This window comes from Homo sapiens, chromosome 6, assembly GCF_000001405.40.
Source record: "Homo sapiens chromosome 6, GRCh38.p14 Primary Assembly".
Lineage (NCBI taxonomy): Eukaryota > Metazoa > Chordata > Mammalia > Primates > Hominidae > Homo > Homo sapiens.
This window is the reverse complement of record NC_000006.12, coordinates 170,691,702-170,716,612: the sequence shown is the minus strand read 5'-3', so window position 1 is coordinate 170,716,612 and position 24,911 is coordinate 170,691,702. Positions and strand designations below refer to the sequence as shown.

The 24,911-nt window shown below is 48.3% G+C and overlaps 1 long non-coding RNA gene across 1 annotated transcript in view; it reads right to left on the bottom strand.

The window, feature by feature from the left end:
- The window catches only part of LOC101929692 (uncharacterized), a 115,831-nt gene that overhangs the window by 11,884 nt on the left and 79,036 nt on the right, over window positions 1-24,911 (bottom strand). Inside the window, exon 3 of the long non-coding RNA NR_171670.1 lies at window positions 1,728-1,829. This is a non-coding gene — a long non-coding RNA (uncharacterized LOC101929692). The remainder of the gene's footprint in view (window positions 1-1,727; window positions 1,830-24,911) is intronic.

The window sequence follows — 24,911 nt, the reverse complement described above, 5'->3', positions numbered from 1 at the left end:
TAGAAAAATGACAAGTCAGAGGACTGGAAGGAACATTATGGACTGTCCTCCCTTCTGCCTGAAGAGATGGGGAGACTCTCCCAGGCCATGTGGAAGACCTCACAGGGGGACCAACTGCTGCCTTTCAGCCTGGCCGAGGGAAGAGCCCCTGACTCAGCCTCCGCAGGAGGAGGTGGGCTGGAACCAAGTTTCCCTGCATCAATCCAGGCACTCCAACATGGGATAGTGAGCCAGCTTGGGGGACAGCAGCTGTCTAAACAGGAGCATGCAACCCCCGTGCTGAGAGTTCCCCAGGGTCACGACTACCCAGAGTCAGAGCTGCCCAGGGTCACAGCTACTCGAGGTCAGAGCTGCCCCAGATCAGGGCTGCCCAAGGTCAGAGCTGTCCTGGGTCAGAGCTGCCCATGGTCAGAGCTGTCCTGGGCATCAGAGGCGCAGAGGTGGGAAGGGCTGGCTTCAGGTGGGAGTTATAGGTGGGAGTTATGCTACAAAGGGTCTTGAAGGCCAGTGTTGTTGACAGGGTAGGGTGCCTGGGTAATAGCAGAGGAAGAAAAAGGCTTAGAGTTGGAGGGAAAAACATGAACTGGAGTTGGGGGAGTGCACCTTCCCCCTCAGAGACCACAAAGCCTCCCCAGGGCTGGGCTGTGGCTGCTGGAGCTCCCAGACCATGCCAAGTGTCAGAGCCTGGGCAAGACCCTCTGGGGCAGCCCGGAACCACCAGAGGTCAGAGCTGGAGGAGGCTCAGCTGGGGCCCTTGCACCAGGCAGGAGGCCCAGAAAAGAGACAGTGCTCTTGAACTGCAGGAAGGCAGCTCCGTAGAGAGGCAAATCTCACTCCAGCTCGGGCAATACTCAACTACACGGACGTGGATGCTCTCAAGGGGGCTTTGGGGCATGTGGTGTCGGCATTGGACCCAAATATGGGCTCAAAGCTTTCCTTTACCATATTCCTTCTACATTTTTCTTGCAGATTGAGAAGGGATAGGGAGGAGTTTAGGGAAGTGAGTGAAGCAGGAAGATGTTGACCAAGGGAAGTTAATTCCATAAAGAGGAGGATGAGGGGACAGAAAGGCAGGAGGAAGAGGAGGAGGAGAATCTTCGCACAGGGGGTGTCAGCTGATGGGGGCAGCATGGGTGCCCACGGAGCCCTTTAGGGGTCGTTGGTTGTGTGCAGAGAGGCCACAGCAGGCGAGGCAGGCAGTGTCTACCACCCCCAAGGAGACACCAAGAATCCCTGTCCTTAGGAAGTCCCCTCTTCCTCCTCTTGAGTCTCATCTCGGAAAGAGGGAGCTGTCAGTCAGAGCTCAGGCCAAACACTGGGGCTAATAGGGGTGAGAGCAGGGACCTGTGGGGTCCTCACCGCTGTCCCCTTCTCACCTTTCTGGCTCAGGCCAGGCTCAGCCCCCAGTGGTCTATTGTCTTTCTATCTGTCATCTATCTACCTACCCACCTATCTAACCATGCCATCTATTTCATCTATTTTTATCTATCAACCATCTATCTACCTACCTACCTTTCCATCTATCATCTAGTTCATCTATTGCTATCTATTATCTAATTTGCCTATCAAGTATCTATCCATCATCTATTTCTATCATCTATCCATCACCTGTTACCTATCACCCATATACCACCTATCCCTATCTATCATCTATCTAGCCAGCAATCCACCCATCATCTACTTCATCTATTTCTACCCGTCTCCCACCCCCTCTCCCCACCCCTCACCAGAGAGTATGCAAGCACGACCACGTCAACAGGCCCTGAAGTCACAGGTTCACACAGCACGTTTTCTGCTCCATCACGTGTATGGGGCAGGGGGCAGCAGAGCTGGGGGAGAAGAGATAAAGGAATTATGTCAAACAGGGACTGTCTTGTCTGCCCCAAGGGCCTTTCCTCATCTATAAAGCAGATTTTTCTTGTAGAGCACGACGAGAGCTGTGAAATGGGAGTGAGGGGTGAGGCAGGCCATGGGGCCTTCCACAGGTGGGCAAGATGGTTGTCTCTGGGGAACCAGCTGGCCAGAGGGGGCCAAGTGCCAACCGGTCTGGATGAGAGCAAAGCAGCAGGCAGAAGGTTACAGAGGCAAGTGTCGGCACCAGGGGTGAATGCTGGGATTTTTCAAATCCAAGAGGCATTTCAAGTAAGGGGAAAACCTCCCCCGGGGCTGGGCTGAGAAGCTAGTCGGGTGATGGGATGAGTGAGAATGACAAGTTGCGTCTGATTGTCCTGGAGACCTGGCTGAGAACTCTGTGTGAGTCTCTTAGGTAGACGGTTACACTTGTTTTCAGTGAGAGTCAGTTTCCATAGAGAACTGCATGGTAGTCACCAAGAACCGAGGGGGCCCAGGAATGCCCCAGCAGTGGTCTGGAAGGGCTTGTGGGGCTGGGCAGGAGGTGGGTGGGGACCGGGTGCAGGCAGAGGGAATTCAAGGGTACAGAGGCAGAGAGATGGTGCCGCCTGGGGAACGCAGCGCACCCAGGACAGAACAGGCCTGAGGGCCACACACACTCACAGCGGCTTCCCAGAGTGTTTGTTTTCTATGCACCAAGATGCTCCCCCAAACCCTCTGCAGCCTGTTCCCTGCCTTGGGGGTCCTGAGGGCCACCCTTCGGGTATGGGGTTCAGGTCGCTATTCCTTTCTCGATGCCCCTGGTGTGTCCATGGGATGAGCTGACTGGCCCACCTAGTGGGAGCCTGTGCACCACGGTTCGTGTGGCCCAGGGGAGGAGGTTTTGCCTTTCCTGGACCCCACTTTATGAAAGGAAAGCCTGAACCCCTGGGCCGGCTAGGGGAGTGAGCTAGGGTGGAGGGCAGTGCTGGTCATGGAGGGCAGTGTCCAGCCCTCTGCTCACCAGCTCCAAGAGTGATTCTGGAAACGGAGCCCAGTCCCTGGGCCCAAACCTTTGCCTCTGCCCTTCTTTCTCTCTACAAATTAGAGGCCACATCCCTGGCCGCTGAAGCCTTGTACCCTGACCCACTGTCTGAACCTGATGGAGTCTAAATGCAGTGAGCGGGTGCCAGCCTTCCCTGGAGCTCTGCAGAGGCAAGGAGGGGGTGGATGGAAAGACGGGAGTCCCTCCCCTTAGGTGAGGGGGGGAACTAGGGCCCGGGGAGATGCCCAGGCCTGGCGGCCGGCGCACGCGGGTTCTCTGTGGCCAGCAGGCGGCGCTGCAGGAGAGGAGATGCCCAGGCCAGGCGGCCGGCGCACGCGGGTTCTCTGTGGCCAGCAGGCGGCGCTGCAGGAGAGGAGATGCCCAGGCCTGGCGGCCGGCGCACGCGGGTTCTCTGTGGCCAGCAGGCGGCGCTGCAGGAGAGGAGATGCCCAGGCCTGGCGGCCGGCGCACGCGGGTTCTCTGTGGCCAGCAGGCGGCGCTGCAGGAGAGGAGATGCCCAGGCCTGGCGGCCGGCGCACGCGGGTTCTCTGTGGCCAGCAGGCGGCGCTGCAGGAGAGGAGATGCCCAGGCCTGGCGGCCGGCGCACGCGGGTTCTCTGTGGCCAGCAGGCGGCGCTGCAGGAGAGGAGATGCCCAGGCCTGGCGGCCGGCGCACGCGGGTTCTCTGTGGCCAGCAGGCGGCGCTGCAGGAGAGGAGATGCCCAGGCCTGGCGGCCGGCGCACGTGGGTTCTCTGTGGCCAGCAGGCGGCGCTGCAGGAGGGGAGATGCCCAGGCCTGGCGGCTGGCGCACGTGGGCTCTCTGTGGCCAGCAGGCGGCGCTGCCGGAGAGCTCAGGAGCAGGGGCCTGGGCCTGCTCCGGGGGGATCCGCCCACCCCACCACAGCGGCCTCTCCTGAGGTTCCCTAGTGGCCGCGAAGGGTGGGCTCAGGGTGAGGGGTCAGGCCACACCAGTGGGTGCAGGGATGGCTGCGGCCACGGGAGGGCGTCCAGGGAGGAGGCCGGAGCTCAGGCCCACTCTGCACACCCAGCCCGCCACCTCCCCCGGCTCTCTCTTCCTTCGTGCACATTCTGGGGCTCATGCTTCTGCTGTGGTCCCATTTAGCCAACCTGGCCAGCCTTTCATGCCTGCTTCATGGGTGAGACGTGGAGGCCAGGTCAGCCGCAGAGCCCGGGGCACACGCCGCAGCCAGCACAGCAGCAGGTGGGCGTCTGCGGCCGGGGCCAGCGCGGGGCCCACTGGGCCTCGGAGGGGCCTCCCTGCCGACTCTGCCCCCGTCCTGTGGCCGTAAGTCCACCCGGAGCGCTCGATCTTCCGTCCACCAGGCCAGGGATGCACGCAGAGTAAGGATGTGTGTGTCTACGCATGTGGGGGTGTGGGTGTGACGGGGTGTGTGCTGTGTGAGAACGTGTGTGTAGTGTTCACATGTCCTCTGTGCGTGAGTCCCTGTGTGTGATGTTGTGTTCTCGGTGTGAGTTCATGGGTGTGACGGGGTGTGCTGTGTGAGAACGTGTGTGTAGTGTCCACATGTCCTCTGTGCGTGAGTCCCTGTGTGTGATGTTGTGTTCTCAGTGTGAGTTCATATGTGTGACAGGGTGTGCTGTGTGAGAACGTGTGTGTAGTGTTCACATGTCCTCTATGTGTGAGTCCCTGTGTGTGATGTTGTGTTCTCGGTGTGAGTTCATGGGTGTGACGGGGTGTGTGCTGTGTGAGAACATGTGTGTAGTGTTCATATGCCCTCTATGTGTGAGTCCCTATGTGTGATGCCCGTGTTCTCAGTGTGAGTTCATATGTGTGACAGGGTGTGCTGTGTGAGAACATGTGTGTAGTGTTCATATGTTCTCGGTGTGAGTTCATGTGTGTGACGGGGTGTGCTGTGTGAGAACCTGTGTGCAGTGAGATCTTCCCCAAAGGTAGGTCAAAGCTGGGGGCCCTTTCATTTGCCAGGATCTAACCCAGCTACTCAGGAGGCTGAGGCAGGAGGATCACTTTAGGCCAGGATTTTGAGAGCAGCCTGGACAATATAGTGAGACCCTGTCTCTACAAAAAAATTTTAAAAATTAGCCGAATGTGGTGGGGCATGCCTGTAGTCCCGGCTACTCCGGAGGCTGAGGTGGGAGGATTGCTTGAGCCCAGGAGTTTGAGGTTATAGTGAGTAGTGATGGCATCCCTGCCCTCTATCCTGGACGACAGACCAAGAGTCCAGCCCTAAAAAAAAAATTTAATTAAAAATTTTTAAATCTTTAAAAATTAAAAATCTTAAATTTTTCTTTAAGATTTATAAGAGGACTCAGTAAAGGCTGTGCTGGCAATAACATCAAACTACTGAATTCTTTGACAACTCCTTGGAGATTATTATTTTGCATGACATAACTAAACATCTTAATGATTGACTTAATTACTTAGATGTCAGTCTGTATGTTTTTGGTGTCGTAAGTACAAAGCTTAGAACTGTTACTTTTAGGGCCAGGAGCAGTGGCTAACGCCTGTAATCACAACACTTTGGGAGGCTCAGTCAGGCGGATCACCTGAGGTCAGGAGTTTGAAACCAGCCTGCCCAACATGGTGAAACCCCATCTCTACTAAAAATACAAAAATTAGCCAGGCATGGTGGCAGGCACCTGTAATCCCAGCTACTTGGGAGGCTGAGGCAGGAGAATCTCTTGAACCCAGGAGGTGGAGCTTGCAGCGAGCCGAGATTGTGCCATTGCACTCCAGACTGGGTGACAAGAGCGAAACTCCGTCTCAAAAAAGAAAAAAAAAATTACTTTTAAAACCAAGTACTAGCTCATCTCTAAGTAATACTATTTAAGTAGGCAAAAGCCCCTGGAGGTCGCCTGAACTTTTTATACTCTTAGCTGAGGGGACAGAACAGAAATGATATGACATTTACAGAAACCCCTATGTGGCCTGGCCTCATTGGAATTTTTTCTATTAGTTAAATAAAGACCATTTGTTTCTATTGATTAAAAACAAAATTATTCATATAATGGGTTCAAGAAAACAAATTATTTCCCTAATGGACAGTGTAGGTCAGGACTAGAAGCAAACAAGGATCTTCTATCCCTCACACATCTCAACACTCAAGCAAAAACTCAAAGAAAACAATGATACTGACGGCCACGTCATGCACCGTGCTCACACAGGATGCCAAGAGGCTTAATATGTGTTCCTTACCTGGACCCTTTTCACTGGATCAGAAACACGGATGTCTTAGTCTGATAGGCATCCTCTGCTAATGCATTTTAAATGATTGAATCAATAATTTGATGGGCCACTTTTTATAAGATGCTACGATACCCTATGAAGCACTATTAAAATATTCATTTTTCTGCACACCAGATGCGGGCCAATTGTTCATAACCAATATTGGTTCTCTGGCAAAAGGAGCAAAGGCAGCCCTCTAAGATATTCCTCACTGATATTCCATTTTTCAGTGGGTAGGGAGACATGAGTAGGAAGCAAATCTGGGTCCCTGCACCCACGATCTTGGTGCCATCAAAGTGCCGCTGCTGGCAGGTTCCTGGGCACCATCTGAGACCAACCCCACTGTGAGGTTGAAGGAGGCTGATCAGAACAGTGGTCCTCCACCTCCTCCCTGACATCTTGGGAAGATGACTTCCCAAGTCATCTTCTATTTATGTGGTCTTATTCCCATAACTGGGGCCAGATGATCCCACCCTGGGAAGACTGGGGAAATTCCCAGAATGCTGACCTGAAAGTCCAATTTTCCCAATGTTTCTACTGTTCCCATGTCAAAAGTCTTTGGGCAAAATCTCCCAGGCTTGAGAGATTTCAATCCAGCCTGGATCACCTCTCCACTTCCTCCATCCCAGAGTGAAATTAAAAATCCCATCTGCTGTCAATGAGGAGTCCCTTCAGGCCCTAAAGTTTAGGAAGAGGAATCCCTATCTTGTCTTCTTCACTGTCATCCCAGCACATCAGTTACTTAAAACAACCCAATTTCAAGAACTGATAGACCTTCATTTCTGGACACACCAAAAACAAGCAAATTCCAGAGGATCAGCTTCAGGGTGGCAGAATGGAAGGAGTAAAAGCCAACCACGGGGCCAGGTGCAGTGGCTCACGCCTGTAATCCCAGCACTTTGGGAGGCTGAGGTGGGCAGGTCACCTGAGGTCAGGAGTTCAAGACCAGCCTGGTCAACATGGTGAAACCCCGTCTCTATTAAAAACACAAAATATTAGCCAGGCATGGTGGCGGGCGCTGGTAGTCCCAGCTACTCGGGAGGCTGAGGCTGGAGAATCACTTGAACCCAGGAGGCGGAGATTGTGGTGAGCCAAGATTGCACCACTGCACTCCAGCCTGGGTGGCGAGTGAAACTCCATCTGAAATAACAACAACAAAAAGCCAACCATGGGATCTGTGGCACAGCTCTCACTTCACCATTAGCTCAGCCAGGACTGGCAAGGGAGTGCCGACTGGAGAATCTTATCCTCTGTTCCTTAGCTGTTTAGATGTATAAAGCCTGAGGGCTTTGCACCTAATTAGGGTTTCAGAGCTTTGTTTTTCTCTCATCTAATTACATTTGCCCTGTGGGGAAGAGCCTCTGTCCAGGAGGCATTGCTCTCTGAAAATCTGTCTCAGCCCAACAACAGGTGCGAGAAGGTGAGCAGCTCCTCTCCCCACCAATGCGGTGAGATGCTGAGCCAGGCCCTGGCTTCTTCTTCCTCCTCTCCTTTCATTATCTCTAACTCCAGTGTCAGCCCTCAAGCAGTCCCCTGCTTTGTCACCCCTGGCAAGGTGGGGAATGTTCTCTTAACCTGCAGCTTTCTCCTTCAGGAACAAAGCGCAGCCTCTTAGCAGCTAGCAATCAACTCCTGTGCTCGGGGCCTTCCAGCCAGACCTTCTGCAGTGCACCCTGGTAGGGGGTAAATTATCCTGAGCTTGGAAAATGTGACTGAAATCACCTCCGACAGAGGGAAATGGGTTTTCATAAAAGACGTTTCCTCACCTTCGGTTGCAACTCAATTCAACTGACCATTTCCCACCCTGGATCTCAAAAGAAATTTCTGCTTTGCTTCTGGGTATGAGCCTGGGTGATAATGAAAGGTACTTAGGAAGCCAGGCCTATTGAAGCAGCGTAGCCCTCAGAGGGGCATGGCTGACTTGGCTAAGAGTAGGACAGGGTGTGGGGTTGAGGAATCCATGGGGACTCAGGGCATCCTGTCGCAGACACAGGAGCTGACCCAGCCACAGGGTCACAGGACAGCCTGTGTCACCACAGTCTCTGTGCAGAGTCCAGAGTTCACAAATGAGATAAATGGACATTTGCTGGCTGGGGTAACTCAGCATCTATTCACCCTATTTCTGGGAAAAGCCTCAATTTACATGTGGGAATGGACCACCCCCTTATTGTTATAGGAGTTATTAAGAAATTATTTTAGGCAGATAGAGAGGAAAAGAGGTCCTTGGGAAGTTTTTGTTTCTTTTAAAGCAGATCCAGAAACCTTTCTTGTCTAACAGGAGAGCGCCAGCTCTAAGAGCCACTGGCAAGCTTTGATATGCAAACGCAGGCCACTGGAAACTGAGTCCACCCAAACATGGAGATTCCAGGTTTCTTCCTTGCCCCAACAGGTGGCTGGCAACATGGCCGCCCCCACATATCCCCACGTGTGTAGAACATCATGGCGCCCTGCATTTGCATCTTAAAAGGCTAGACTGTGAGGGCCAGCTTTTTCGCAGGCTATGTGAATGACCTGCCTGGTCAAACCAATCCTCTGAGCCCTATGCAAGCCAGCACCGCCTCCTCCAGCCTCCTCATATAACTAGCTGATTACACCACACACACGCCCTCCCCCCACATCCCTTCTCCCCACTGGGGTTTTCTCTCTGTTCAAATCCCCTCTCCCTCTGTCTCTGTACTGGGGAGCTGTTTTCTTCTTCCTTCCTTCTTGTATATTAAACTTTTCGCTCCTTAAAACCACTCCAGGTGTGTCTGTGTCATTTTATCCAAGTGTGTGCTAGACCAAGAACCCTGGTGCTCCTCCAGTCATCTGAGCCATATCATTATCTCATTCTGTTTTTGATGGCACTAACCACCAGCATACCCTGCTCCATCAGAACACTCATCCTCCTGAGCTCTGTGAATGGCTCAGGATGCACAAGTGAGAGAAAAATGTAGCCAAGTGAGGAGGCAGAGAGAAACTGCCTCCTGGTAACACAGTGTGCGCCCCTGGATCAAGCCATGCCTGAAGGCAGTTTATTCTGAACTTTTACAATAAGTGCTCTTTTTGTTTAAATCACTTTGGATTGGGTTTTTTGTTCACTTGTAAGCAAAAGCACACTATGATAAAAGGGGATACAAGACAAGTATCACAAATCCAGAAATGAGAAGGTCCCAACCCCAGAGCCCAGGCCAGTCAGGGAAGTGAAGAAACAGCATCTGAGATGCCTATGCCCAGTATCCAGGGGCTAGGTCCATGGCCTTTGAGCCTTAAGATGCAGGAGATCCCTGTGGGGAACTTCACAACAGCGTAGATTCCCACTCATTCCCACAGCCAATTCTCATCCTTCAGTCTGGAAGGGGAACCAGAGGTTTGGTTTTTAACCAATATCCAGGCAATTTGGAAGCAGATAACACAGAGAATACTTTGAGAAACACTTCCCTACACTCTGAGCTGGGAGTTAAAGGACAGGGTTCCAGTCTCTGCGGTGAGGCAGTGGCAAGAGCTCCGTGGGCGGGAAGAATATTAGGCCAGAGCTTAGAACAGGACTGCAGAAGCAAGCATGGAATGGAAGCACATCTGGTGATCTGTGACATACAACGAGCCTGCAGATCACAGGCAATGATTTTTGGAAACTCATCACACAGTAGTTTGAAGCAGCAGGAACGATTTCATCCAAAGTGCCATGAGAACACTTCCGAGTCTACAAATGCTTTCATAGGTCAATCTAAGCTGTTCCTCCCAACCAACCTGTCTGGCAATTAGAAATTAGGAAATTAAAACTCAGAGTGTCTAAATAGCATGCACAAAGCCACACAGCTCACTGGTTCAGTAGCCTAGACCTGGGTCCCAGTCTGTCTGACACCAAACCCCACACTTTTCAAATAATTCTCCCTTCCACTGGGGGAAGGGCTGGGTCTCAGGAAAGGTCTAAGGGACACACAGTGTGGGGATCAGTGAGACCCTACTCAGCAGGCCCAGATGAGGGAAGGGGGTGCTCCATCTGACTGCACAGGAAGGCAAGGCCATTTTAACTTTGCAGCATCTTCAACTCATCTGGCTCAAGAAATCCCAGCCCAGCTTGGGGATGGAGAGTGGAGGAAGACAGGGGCACCCTTGCAAGTGAAGACTAAGCTCTGACTTTTTTTTTTTTTATCTTACCCAAATTCCCTATCTAAAGGGTCTGGGGAGTGATGTCCTACAAACCATAAATTCTCATCAGATGGATTTTATTTAACCCTATATATTGTGACTTACTTTCCAACCTGACTCTGTCATAACATTATGAGACAAGGAAGAAAATCAAAATATTTTACCCCAAAACATAGGCTTTTTTGTCCATATCTTGAAATGGCCCTGCAAAGCTGTCCTTTGTGGGGGAAAATTTGTATCTGTAAAGAATCTCTATTAACATAGCTAGATATTTTTCTTCCAGGCCCTCCCAATCCTAAAGAGATTAACTGAAAGTCTAGCACTTTGTTTTTTTTTTGTTTGAGACGGAGTCTCAGTCTGTCGCCCAGGCTGGAGTGCAGTGACATGATCTCGGCTCACTGCAACCTCTGCCTCCCGGGTTCAAGCGATTCTCCTGCTTCAGCCTCCTGAGTAGCTGGGACTACAGACGCCCGCCACCACACACAGCTAATTTTTATATTTTTAGTAGAAATGAGGTTTCACCACATTGGCCAGGATGGTCTCAAACTCCTGCCCTTGTGATCCACACCCACCTGGGCCTCCCAAAGTGCTGAGATTACAGGCGTGAGCCACCGTGCCTGGCCAAGTCTAGCACCTTTTAAAGATCTGAATAGGAAACATTTGCCATCTATTGTCTCTGAGGACAGCCTCTATAAGACTTCAAAAGAACCTTGGTCTCCACCATCTTTTATCTTAACTTGAAAATTTCCTTTCTATGGATCCCAGGTCTTTAGACAAACTCACTGAAATTTACCTATAGCCTGGAAGCGCCCCTCTCCTCCTGCTTTGGTCCCACCTTTCTGGACCAAACCAGTGTATTTCTTAAATGTACTTGATCGATGTCTCATGCCTTTCTAAAATGCATAAAACCAAGCTGTACCCCGACCACCTTGGACACATGTTCTCAGGACCTCCTGAGGGCTATGGCAAGGGCCGTGGTCACTCATATTTGGCTCAGAATACATCTCTTCAAATATTTTACTGAGTTTGACTCTTTTCGTCTACAGGAGCAATGGAAATGATTTTCTTTGATCACAGTGTCAGCTCCTGACATTGGGTTGCGCCCATCTGTGCTGCGGACTCTTCCCTCGGAATGAGAGAGGGAGATGGCTCCCAGTGTGGTTGGAAGTCACCCCGCCCCACAACAACACAGTGCAACAGGCCCCAGCTTCACACCCATTCAGTTCAGGACAAGTTTTTTGGAGCATCTACTCTGGGCCAGGCCCGTAGGATACTAAGATGAAATAGAGACAGTTCCTGCCTTTGAAGGGTGGTGATTTACCGGTGGGGAGAAAGGAAGAGGCCCATGAAAAGTCGTGTCTGTAGAAGGTAAGAAGGGGCACAACCGCCATGGCAGGGGAGTCACAAAGGAGAAGCATTCAGCCTGCCGAGAGGTCCCAGGACTTCCCTGGAGGATCAGTCCCCAAACTGACTGTGACAGGGAGCAATACCCAGATAACAGCAGAGGCCCAGAATAAGAAAGAGTCTGTGAGTGGGCAGAATTCCCTCCAGGGTCATGAGGGGAGCTGACTTCCGATTAGGGCATTTCATCCTTCTCTGAAATGCAGCTGAGAACTGGTCAGCCTCACTCCCTTGCTGAGACCAATAGCAATCCCTGATGATCTTGCCACAGGTCCAGCAGGTGCCCCATCCACACTTTGTCCCCAGCCCCTACCAGGAAGCTCCAAACACCTACCTGAGGGGCCAACTCTGATTCCCAAGGAGGTGACACCTCCTGCCCCTTGTTGATAGAACATTGATAAGGAAATAGGACTGAGTTTTAAGCTTCTTTCCATGTCAAATATTTAAAGGCAATATAATGTTCACGTTTAAATAATATTTCATGTGTAATTAAACAATCCCTTATTGTTAAATAGATGGGTTCCAATTTTGAACTGCTATAATCTGTGTATGTGTCCTTGATTAAATCCTTAAGAGAAATCCCTAGAAACATTATCTTAGGGTCAAATGGCTTGGATATTCTGTAAACTGCTGATAATTATGGGAAATTGCCTTCCAGGAAGGTTATAACAATTTGCCTGATCCCCAGCAGCAACAGACTTTACAAAGTACTCAGTATCTAATATTTAACTTTGATAAAGATAAGCTTCTCCCTTCTTTTTCACTTAAAATGCTGTGTCCCACCTCACTTTTCAGTGTCTCTTCACACTGACAAGACGGTTGGCTAATACTTCAGAGCTTGCAGAGCATCTTTATACACTTTTAATCCTCCTAACAACCATGAGAGATGGAGCTTACTATTATCATCCGTGTTTGCAAATGAGGCCCTGAGAAGTTGAGTGATTTCTGTAAGGTCTCAGAGCCAATAGACACTGGTAATGAAATAAAATGCAAGGCCCCTTATCTTTGGAGCCCAGTGTTCCTTCCACATAGGTGGTTCTCCACCCAGGCTGCCCAGGAGAATGTGGAATCTCCAGCAGTTCTGACTTAACTGGCCTGGTGTGGATGTCTGTGATGGGTGAACATTCCCAGACCCTTTTAAGAATGTGATAGAAGTGGTAGACCCACTTCCCAGAAAAAGGGACGCACAACAAAATAATTGTCCTGAGTGGGTCTGACAGAATCAAGTGAACCCTTTAAATCTGGATCTAGAGGTCAGAGACTGAGAATGTCAGAGATGCAAAAGAGATTCAGTGCAAGAGAAATCCTCCTACTGGTTTTGAAGATAGATGTTGGCACCCTGTGTCAACAACCTGAGAGTGGCCTTGAGTTGCTGGGAGCACCCCAGACTGACAAACAGCAAGAAGAATATGGGGACCTCAGTCCTACAACCACAGGAACTGAATTCTACTGACAACCAGTGAGCTTGCAAAGAGGACTTGGAGCCCCAGATGAGAAGCAACCCTGGCTACCCCGATCTCAACCCTGTGAGATCCTAAACAGACAATCCAGCCATGCAACACCCAAACTTCTGACCTATAGAAACCCTGAGATAATAAATGGGCATTGCTCTAAATCACCAAGTTTGTGGTAATTTGTTACACAGCCATAGGAAGTGAATCGACCTGATGTATCTGAGCACCTGCTAGGTTATCATTAAGATTACTCTTCAAAGGTAAAAATTATTTTTCAAAATGTTTCTGCCCTACCTTCTGTGAGCATCTGGTGATGTATGGACCACACACATAAAGGTAGACTGTGTTTAGGTGGGCATGGTGGTGCATACCTGTGGTCCCAGCTACTCAGGAGGCTGAAAGAGGAGGATCACTAGGGCCCAGGAGTTCAAGGCTGCAGTGAAGCTGTGATTGAGCCATTGCACTCAAACTTGGGCAACAGAGAAAGACACCAGCTCTAAAAAAAAAAAAAAAAAAAAAAAAAAAAACTGCTGAATGCTATAAATAAGATTGGAACTTGCTCTGCTTTTACAAGACCACTGTTAGATGACCACTGACAAGAAGACTGTGAGCTGGTCTCTGTAGGAAGCAGGGGCCTGGGCAGCTCTGGGGGCACAGGAGACAGGCCTGGGGCAGAGACACCTCAGGGCATTTTCAGAAGACAGCCAAAGCAGCCATTCCAGCTTGCCCAGGTAGATGGCAAGTCAATGGGAAATGATTCCAGGAAGGTAGGGAAAGATGGAATTCTGGAGAGCATTGGACCTCAGATTGGGAGTCTGAACATCTTTCCATATACATCAGGAAGTCATGGAAAATTCACAGACTGGAGTGACTTTGGCAAAGGTGGGATTTAGGAAGACTGATCAAGGCACGGGATAGACCCATGGATGAATGGCCTTCTGGTCAGTTTGTCCCTGTGGTTTTCTATGCTGAGGAGGTGGGAATGTGCTGGGTGAGTCAGCTGTGGATTTGTGTCCCTGCCTCACCTCACTCCCCACTGTCGTGGATTTGTCGGCTCATCTGTAGTGCGCTCCCTGAAGAAACACTCAGTTCACTCAGCTTGTTTCTAACCCAAAATACTCTGCAGGGCCCATCCTCTCGTCTTTGCCTGGGGATGCCAGACCACGCACTGCGGATGCCTTCCACCTTAGCACTAGTGGGCTAAATGATGACTGCCTTGCTGTCCCAACACCACCCATCAAAGGGAAGACATCACCACTGGGGTCAGTACAGCCCAAGTGACAAACTCTATTCCCTCCTTTCTCTCCATCCCATGGACCCTTGATTTGCTAAGTGGGAAGACACTTTCTCGTGGTTCAACATCACCTAATCTGCACAATTGCTTCTGCAGGCTAACTCAGCCAGAAACCCTGGATATCTGGGCAAAAGTGCATATAACTTTTAAAAGGATTACTACTGCTTTTAATATTCCCTCTGTCTTGAGTCAGACCACCACCAAGATCAGAGTTAATATCATATATCAAAGTCCTGCCATCAGCCTGTAGGATTTATTACTAGCATCTGTCCACTTCAGAGCTATGGGAACCAATGGAATTGGATCTAAGGTTTTGAGTTGGCTCTTGTGCATGGAAATTTGATGCAAACACTCTAATTTATTGGCCCTAAAGGGCTTTGGCAAGTCATTTTGGCAAGTCACCCACTGAACACAGAGTGAAATTTGCAGAGGTTTCCCCTCTGCTCGAACAGTGGTGTTCTCAGCACGTACAGGGAAGTTCTGCCCCCTTCCAGCCAGGTGAGCTAGGGGATTTTGCCTACCCTTTCTGAACCTCAGTTTTCTCATCCATAAGATGGGAATAAAAACATGGTCCTGGATGCATGTCTCATGCTAGGCACTGAGGCAGGGTACTCTCTCCCCTGAATGCCTTGCTATTGATGCATCACCAGTAAGGCATGCATTCATTGCACAGAAACTTAGGCATATGCCTACCAACATGCCCGATGTTGTGTGAGGCCTGACCGCTGTGAGGATGGACTTCCATCTGTGTGAATGGATTCATGAGACGAGCCCTCACTCTCAGGACTGAGGGCATTGGTGCTCTAACTTGTCTGAATATGGAATCAGCTGGAGAGATTCTGTAAATTACCAGTCCCATTCCACCCCTGAGATCCTGATTTCATGGTCTTATTTCATTGCAGCCTGGTCGTTGGGATGTTTAAAACTCTCCCTAGGAATTCCAATGTGCAGCCAAGTTTGCAACTACACGGAGCCAGGTTAGTGGTGCGGTCAGCATGGTGATAATTGGGCTCATGAACCCATGACCTCAGCTTCATCAGGAGACCCACTGTAAGTACTGGCCCAACAGGAGGGAAAGGAGCTGAGTCAGATGATACCACTGAGGGGCATGAGCAAATGAAAAAACAGGAACCCAGCCATGAAGCTCGGCCTGAGTGTTGGAGATGCCACTATAGAGACCCTGGTCTTAGCAATCCAGACTTTTCCCCAGCAGAAGGGAGAGGTGAAGATTATCCTGGCTGGGACTGTGTAAGGCCTTTGAAGGTTGACCATCCATCTCACCCTGCTGTTTCCCTCCTTCCCTGCAGAACAGCCGTTCACCTGAATGTTCCAGGCTTTTGGTTAACAACCCCTGGTCTTTTGTACCCATTCACACTCAAAATCAGGGGGAATTCTTTGAAATGGTTAAAATGCAAAAGTGAAATTTAGAAGCCCTATGAATGAAACAACAATCCAACAAAAAATTCCCAACACTTTAAGCAAATGCTTTTCTGGCAGAGCCTTCAAATTGCTACTGTCCCACTATCTTCTGGAATCGTGTGTGTGTGTGTGTGTGTGTGTGTGTGTGTGTGTGTGTGTAGAGCAACAGGTGAAGCAGCAACCATAAGGTAGCCTACTTCAGGTCTGGCACCTGTTTTCACTGCTGTCATGCCCTCTTCACTGAGATCCTGACTTAAATATGTACACATGTGAATGCTGATTTCTTAGCATGAATTTTAACTCAGCTGCTGCTCGAGCATCAATGATTCCCAATTCCCATCAGAGTGAATGGCCCCTTCCTGGTCTCTGCAGTCAGCCCTCTGAAGCTGCTCAGCTGCACCCCTGGGAGCTGAGGGGCCAACTCTGACTCCCAAGAAGGTGACCTCTGTCTCCCTTCCAGGGCCAGAGATGCAATATCACACACACACTGCCTTTGGAATGTGTGATTAAGCTTTTGGCTGCCAGTAGCCTGACAGCTTCCAGCAGCTTTGTCTGCCACCGTGTCCACTTCTCTGTGCCAAAGTCACTGAAACAAAGGGACTGCAGATGTTGCTGTGAAGTCCTTCCAATTCTCCAGGACAGAGGAAAGCACTACATTGGGTGGGGGGTGGAGTGGGGATGATGGACTGTGGGAAACCTGCATGATGGGCGTGAAACAATAAAAATGAAGCTGATTTTCTTCATAGCACTTGCTGCCATAGAGATACATTTGTTTCTGTGACCCTCTCACTGGAATGTAAACTCCCTGAAAGCAAGGACTTGGCTTATTGCTGTATCCCAAGAGCCTGACACAGTGCCTGGCACATGGTAGACACTCAATAGATGTTTGAGATAGGGAGGGAGGGAGGCAGAAAGGGAGGGAGGCAGAAAGGGAGGGAAGGAAGGAGCAAGGAAGGAAGGAAGGAAGGAAGGAAGGGAGGGAGGGAGGGAGGGAGGGAGGGAGGGAGGGACATAGACAGTGGATTTGGATAGACTTGGCTTTAATCCTTTCTGTAGCAATTCTAGCTGTGTAAAAATACGCGAGTGAGTCATTTATTTTCTTTGAGTCTCTTTCTTCATCATAGTACCAATTAACAGGGCTGGGGTAAAGAGTGATACATGTAAGGTTGCTAGCACTATTGGCAATCAAAACATGAGAGCTACTTATTTACATTGTGAGTATTGCTACTACTGATATTATCATTTCTGGACATTACTAATGATGTGAGCACTGGCCTTTCATCAGAGATTACTGGATAAGGAACATTTACCGTCTTGTCTCTGCTCATTGTGCTAAAGTTCCTTCTTTATCCAACAACACTTTCTCCTGTTTTCCCAATTTAGTGAAAGGATTAATCTTTTCACTCTCATTCTTCCTGTTTTGTTTCCCATAATATGGGTCCCATCCTTCCTCATGAGATGGGTATCTCAGCAATTGAGCCCACCCCACCCACATATTTGACCCTGATCCAAGACCCTCATTTCTGGGAATGAACCCCAGATCAGCCATGATAGAGGATAGCCTGGTTTTATCTTTTTGCTTCTGAGCAGGATCCAACAATTCTCATAAAATTTTCCCCAGCCTGTTCAGTGGAATTGTCAAAGCATCATTTTCAAAAAGTGAAAACATGATTCTTATATAAGTCTATAGGGAGTGTGTATAAAGATCTGTTTACTTCACAAAAGAAAGAACCAGAGGATGGTAAAACTGTTTGAAAAGAGAATTGGAAGGAGAAAGATTTGGATAGACCATCAGAAACAGCATGCTGACATAAGTTTGCTAATTTGGAAACCTCACTCATTAATGTCCTGTGGAGCAATAAAATCTTTTTACAGGACAAAAATCATTTGTATCTCTACCAGACAAAAATTAACATGTAACTTGGCAGAGTCTGGGCCCTAATCAATAGTAAATAGTAAGTCAAACAAAAGTACCTTCCCTTAGAGAGTTAAAAAAAGCTTTGGTGGTTTGTTAGGCAACCTTCCAGTATGGCATTAGAAAGACGTGCAGTCATCCTATTTTTACTTCCAAGTTTGGGATACTTTTTTTTTTGAGATGGAATTTTGCTCTTGTTGGCCAGGCTGGAATGCAGTGGCATGATCTCACCTCACTGCAACCTCCACCTCCCTGGTCCAAGCAATTCTCCTGCCTCAGCCTTCCCAGCAGCTGGGATTACAGGTACACACCACCACGCCTGGCTAATTTTTGTATTTTTTAATAGACACAGGATTTTACCACGTTGGCCAGGCTGGTCTCAAACTCCTGACCTCAAGTGATCCGCCCACCTTGGCCTCTCAAAGTGCTGTGATTACAGGCATGAGCCACCATGCCCGGCCAAGTTCAGGATACATTTTTAAAACAAAATTGGTCCCCCTCAGCCTGGTGGATGTCCCTGCAGAATTTAAAAATACTATTATGTTCTAGATGTCTGATGCTGTCAATTCTCAATGGCCAGAAGAGGGCATCTGCCCAGATCAGTTCAGGTGTCTATCCCTGGTCTGATCGCCTGTGCCCAGGGTAGCGTATCAGGTACACGGTGCTGTTTCTTCCCTGCTATTGGTAGAACAGCTTTTCCAAGAAGGGGATAGGCTGGAATGGAAGAAAAGAGTCCAAAGAGGAAGGAACCACAACAGAAAGAGAATTGCTTTCCTTTCAGTTGTGGGAGCACCAGCTTAATGCCTCTTTTCCACATTTGCCCAGCAGAGGAAATGTTTGGGCCGAATGACAGAAAACCTAGGGTAGCCTTTTTGGTGCCTCCTGACAATCACAGAAGCAGGCTGGGATCCTACCCAGGTATGGCAGAGCAAGTGAGCCCACCTAGGTGGGAATCCTTACCCTCCTAATCCTGCAGGTTCACTTCACAATCTTGTGTAGACCTTAAACCGTTGTTTAGACAGTTATATGAAATGGGGTATTTTCTAGAGAAAAGGACAGTGAATGGGGATATGGGGATTTTTTTTTTTTTTTGAGACAGAGTCTCACTCTGTCGCCTAGGCTGGAGTACAGCCATGCTCCCAAGCCATGCTTCCTGTATGGCCTGTGGAACATAGAGTCAATTAAACATCTTTCTTTTTTTTTTTTTTTTTTTTTTTTTGAGATGGAGTCTCGCTCTGTCACTCAGGCTGGAGTGCAGTGGTGTGATCTTGGCTCAATGCAACCTCCACCTCCAGGGTTCAAGCAATCCTCCTGCCTCAGCCTCCTGAGCAGCTAGGATTACAGGTGTGTGTGTGTGTGTGTGTGTGTGTGTGTGTGTGTGTGTGTGTGTGTTTAGTAGACACGGGGTTTCACCATGTTGGCCAGGCTGGTCTCTAACTCCCGACCTCGTGGTCTGCCCACCTCGGCCTCCCAAAGTGCTAGGATTATAGGCATGAGCCACCGCGCCCGGCCCACCTCTTTTCTTTATAAGTTACCCGGTTTCAGGTAGTTCTTCATAGCAATGCAGACTAATACAACTACTTTGAGTCTCACCTTTCCTTATTTGGAAAAATATTTCCATTGAAGTGTTATGGTGAAGATTCAATACAATTAAATGATATAACATATGTAAAGGGCTTAGCAATAACCCAATGGCTAATAAGCAGCCAAGGAGTGGTAGCTCTCAGTATAGTCAGCCTCTAAGAAGAGAGCAAATGTTTATTTTCAAGAAGAATTATGCAGAAAGGGCCACTTTCAGTCTACCATCCCCCCAGATTCCTTGAAGGCAGGATGATGTGAGCAGCAAGGGAAGAAAGGGGAGTGGGCACGAAATACTACAGAACCTGCAGGGAATGAAGTCCCTCTGTCTGTGTGTGCCTATATCAATAACTTAAACTTACACATTCATGAGATGCACTGTGTTTATTAGGATGTACATGTGTCCCTAAGAATCTGAGAGCTCCTGAGAGACAGAGACGGTGTCTTACTCATCTGCTCTCCCCAGGTCCTCGCTTACTACCTGGCACTTATTGGGTAATAAATGTCTGTTGAATGCATGGAAAAAGAAAGGTAGGAAAGGTGTGAAGGAGAAGATGGAGGTCATGACCAGTAGAAATCTCAGCTGTTCTGCCTGGGCTCCATGTCATCTCCCTGCTATTAGGCCCATCAGAATGTAAGCACAAATGCCTAGAGAATGACAAGCTTCTTTGGGACTCTGCTGACTAGACATGACATAAGACTGGACAGCTCCTGGGGAACTTCCAAGAGCTGGCTCCAGGCAGTGACTAATCCTAGGAGCTGCTGGCTTGGCTGCCTCTCTCCCTTCCTTATTTCCAAGATTGGTCACCTCCTGCTCTGAAATAGCAATTGATTTTCAGACATGAGTTGATAGAACCATGATTTTCTAATACTGTTCCAAAGAGGCTAAAGTACCTCTGAGGAGCAGTGCAGGCTAGGATCAAACTCTCCCTACCTTCCACTCCACTCCCTACCTTGCCCCTCCACCTCTGCCCACTTTCTATTTCTTCAGGCACAGCAGCTTCTACCTTATGGATTACAAATTCTGATCATCCATCTATGGTTGCATTAGGAAAAGAGTACTGCTACTTTCATTTTCTTTTCTAACCACTGCCCTAGAAGAATAACACCTCACATTCTCTGGTAGACTGAAGCCTGCAGCTGCAAGGATGCTCAGAAAACCAGACTTCTATTCATTGGCCACTTGCTGCACGCTCTGTCCCTCGATCCTTGCAACGTACCTTTGAGGTAGGCACAAAAATCCCCATTTACAAGTGAGAAAACCAAGGCAAAAGAGGTTCAGTTTATTTCAGGCTCAAATGTGCTTCCAATAGCTTATAGCCTCTACAGCTAGTGTTTGAACCCAGGTCTGAAACAAATAGGATTGACAAGGGGAGGGAAAAGAGGAACAGAAATTCTTTTCTATAAGACAATTGTTTATGCAGCCAGGATTTCTTAAAATCCAGTTTGTGCCTACGGACATAATCTTTGAATTTGCTTTGTTTCTCGATGAATAACTTGGAAGCTATTCAAATAACTTGGAAGCTTCCTTTAAAAGGAACATCAGGAGGTGATTTTTGACTAACCCTAGGTGTCCTTTCTGAGCCAAATAGATTTTCAAATAAGAAAATGAGAGGACATGAGCTTGAGGAAAATGATAGGCATTCCAACCTCATCCGCTTGCTGACGACCTCCACGTGATTTCAACAATGATTTCAAATATTTCACTTTTTAAGTCAGTGTGACTTAAGTATGAAATTGCCTCTCCCTAAAGCTCCCCTAAGGCCTAAACAGTCGTCATTACCATAGCTGTGACAGGGAGACTGTTGAATTTATAATCTATTGGCCATTCACAGCATAGCGTATAAACCTAGCTCATGATTTCTTTGCAATAGAAGTGTACTTTTTCATCACATTCCCTTCACAACTTACTCACCAGATCAGACTTTGAGCTCTCCTCCTGGCTTAGCCTGGATCGTTTGAAATGGTCATCCATCCTTTGGCCCCAATACCTAAACTAAGGTCTATGAACAATAAGATGATTTTCTTCAGTGGGACTTTTTTGTTTAATATAATATTAGATATTTCCCCTGATACAGGGCTCAATCTTTTTCTTTTTAAAGCAATATTTCTCAAAGTACTTTTCACAGAACTTAAGTTTCATTAAGCACTTCACTAAAAGAAAAGTCTGTGATCTAATAAATTTGGAAAATATTGAGAATTAGAGCCCCCTCTTAGATATGTACTGTAGCTACTCAGCTTGTTACAGATGAAGTAAACATTGTAATATTCACCCAGCTTTTGAGTGATGTCTATTAACGTCACCCAAATGAGTATTCCATGGAATGCACTTTGCAAAAACCTATTATTCAAGAAAATTCTGGAGCATGAAAGCTATTAACGATAAACCCATTCACAAAATCACACCAAATATCTAAAATCATGTTTAAAATCTCCTAGAAATGGGTTGAATTGCCCACTTCAGAGACAAAGTGATTCTTCTGTAATAACGAGTTTTGTTTAGTGAGTACTTATTATCTCATTGAATCCTGAGGACTACCTCACAAGGTAAGTATAGCTCTTTTCATTACACATGACAAACAAGGCTCAGAGAGGTTAAGTAACTTGCTCAAGATCACAAAACTGCAGAGTGACAAAACTAGAATTTTGAATCTAAGCTCAAAGGGTCACCAAACCAAATTTGGGTCCACCCACCCAGCCTATCAAAGTCAAGCACTGATATCGGCATTGCTGAGACAGAAGTTGAGGAATTTATTGCAGGCAGCAAGCAAGGAGTATCAGGCAGCTAATCCTTAAGGCCTAATCTCCCTGATGGCTTATGTGTAAGGGTTTTTAAAGGTGGGAAGGCAGAGGTTGCAGGCAAGGTCATACCATACATGGAGGCTACATATTGGTTTGGCCAAAAAAGGCAAAATATCTCAAAGTGAGGGCCCACAGGATAGGTGACCATTAGATGAATTCAAAGATTTTCTGATTTGAGACCAGGTGCAGTGGTTCACACCTGTAATCTCAGCGCTTTGGGAGGCCAAGGTGGGTGGATAACTTGAGGCCAGGAGTTTGAGACCAGCCAGACCAACATGGCAAAACACCATCTCTACTAAAAATACAAAAATTATCTGGGCATGGTGGTGTGCACCTGTAATCCCAGCTACTCAGGAGGCTGAAGCATGAGAATCGTTTGAACGTGGGAGGCAGAGGGTTCAGTGAGCTGAGATCGTGCCACTGCACTCCAGGCTGGGCAGCAGAGTGAGACTCTGTCTCAAACAAACAAACAAAAACCCAAAGATTTTCTGATTTGTGATTGGTTAAGTTTTGGCTACAAACTTGGGGTCAGCAGAAAGGAATGTTCTGCTCTGGCCTGTGGGTGTGACTTCCTCCAGGTCCCTCAGGAAGAAATTTAGAACAAAGAACAGTTGTGAGTGTTCAGTCCTCAGTTCCTCCTTATCTGAGATCTACGAGCCAACAGGTGGTATTTTCCATTTAGCGGGGTCTGGGTTTCTACAGAACAACTCAGGGACATATGTTAAGATGTTATCTCTAGTTTCTATAGGGAAACAAACATTTTGTGGCTCTAATTTTCTTTTTTTTTTAATTATACTTTAAGTTTTAGGGTACATGTGCACAACGTGCAGGTCTGTTACGTATGTATACATGTACCATGTTGGTGTGCTGCACCCATTAACTCGTCATTTAAGATTAGTTTGTGGCTCTAATTTTCTTGACTATTGTTTTAAGCTATTATTACCTTCTTACTTATCAGGGTGCTCATCTACTTCTTGAGGCTAGCCAGGTGGCTGGAATTTTCCTTGGAGGGACTCAAGAGTTTCCTTTATTTTTCATGCCTTAAATGGGTCTGTTCTCCCTCTTCAAAGCTCAAGCTCTTAAGGACTATGCTATTGTTAGATTTTTCGTATTGGAGCAGTCCTTCCCTCCTACTCAAGAACACCCCTTCTTCAGACAGCCTGGCTGGGTCTTCATCCTGGGAGAGCTCATGAAACACAAACCAGATCTTGGCCCTCACGTGTGTCTAGGCAGAGCTGAGCCTGGGCAACACCAAGCGTGCCCCCGATTTTGCATGCCCCAGCCAATTCAGAGTCAAGATCCACGCTCAGCTCCTTCCCTGCAAAGTGCTAATGATGAAGGATGGGGATCAAGTCAGCAAACTCCAGAAATGGTCTTAGACTAGGAGTCAAGCCTTGAGATCCTATTACACACCAGATTCATTCCCTGATTAGAGCTGCTGAATTCTTTTACTCTCACTGCACTCATGCTAAAGTTTCTTTCCTCCAGCCTCGTAACCCCAGAGGAGGCTGAGCCATGATACCCATTGTCTAGCAATAAATATTTAAGGAGCCCCTGAGATATGTCAGGCACCATCGCAGGTGCTGGGACAAGTGAATGTGACCAGGAAAGTCCCTCCCCTCTCAGAGGTTCTTTTCAAGTTGGAGGACAGCAAATACAGAAATATAGAGTCTAACATAACAACAGGGAGTAATAAACACTTTGAAGAAAAATAAAGTGGAATAAGAGGGTAGGGTTGCCATAGGGTTCTCTGGGCAGTCTTCTATGGAAAGGCCACTTGTTGGGGCAGAGAAAAAAAAGATGTCTGAAAGGAGGACTACCGGCCCCCCATAAGTGCGCTCCGGTCCATGCACAGGGCAATGGGCATGTAATTTCCTATGATTAAGACCTACAGTATGTACAATATTACTGCAACAGACACTGAGACTGACTTAGCATTGTTTCATAGCATCCGAGTTGCTCTGTTGGAGGAAAGTGCATGTGATGGGCATTCATTTGCTTCCGCCATCAGACAGATTCTCTACCTTTGTCTTTCCTACAAGATTCCCTAGGAAGGCAGGGCTCAGTGGCTCATGCCTGTAAGCCCAGCAATTTGGGAGTCTGAGGCAGTCAGATCACAAGGTCAGGAGTTCAAGACCAGCTTGGCCAACACGGTGAAACCCCGTCTCTACTAAAAATACAAAAATTAGCTGGGCATGGGGGCACGTGCCTGTAATCCCAGCTACTCAGGAGGCTGAGGCAGGAGAATTGCTTGAACAGAGACCCGGGAGGCAGAGGTTGCAGTGAGCCAAGATCGCACCACTGCACTCCAGCCTGGGCTACAGAGTGAGACTCTGATAAATAAATAATAAATAAATAAATGATTCCCTAGGAAGCTGACTCCCACTGAATGTGCCACTCAGGAGTCCCTGCTCTCTAGATTACAGTTGAGTTTGCTCAATGCAAGGCCCCAGCAGAAATGTTGAAAGTAAGAGCAAATAGATAGTTAACCACTCTTTAAGACAACAATGGATGTATACTTCTCTGGCCTCAGCTCCTGTGGGGAAGCTCCAGTGCCAGTCCCTGGGTGCTTCACCATTTTCCGTTAGTTCCTGAACCTTGTAAACTGACCCTTCACTAAATTCTTCCTAGTTAACCCTTTGAGAATGAAACCATTTCCTGCCAGGACTCTGACAGATACAAAGAACCCACAGCCGACTGCTGGGTGCGCGGCAGACCTAGTGCATGGCTCCACACTGCCATCTTGGGGGCTGGCACAGGCTGGCACTGAGTCTGGGGAAGGGAGCTGGGGCTGGAGGTGTGGAGGGGAAGACCGT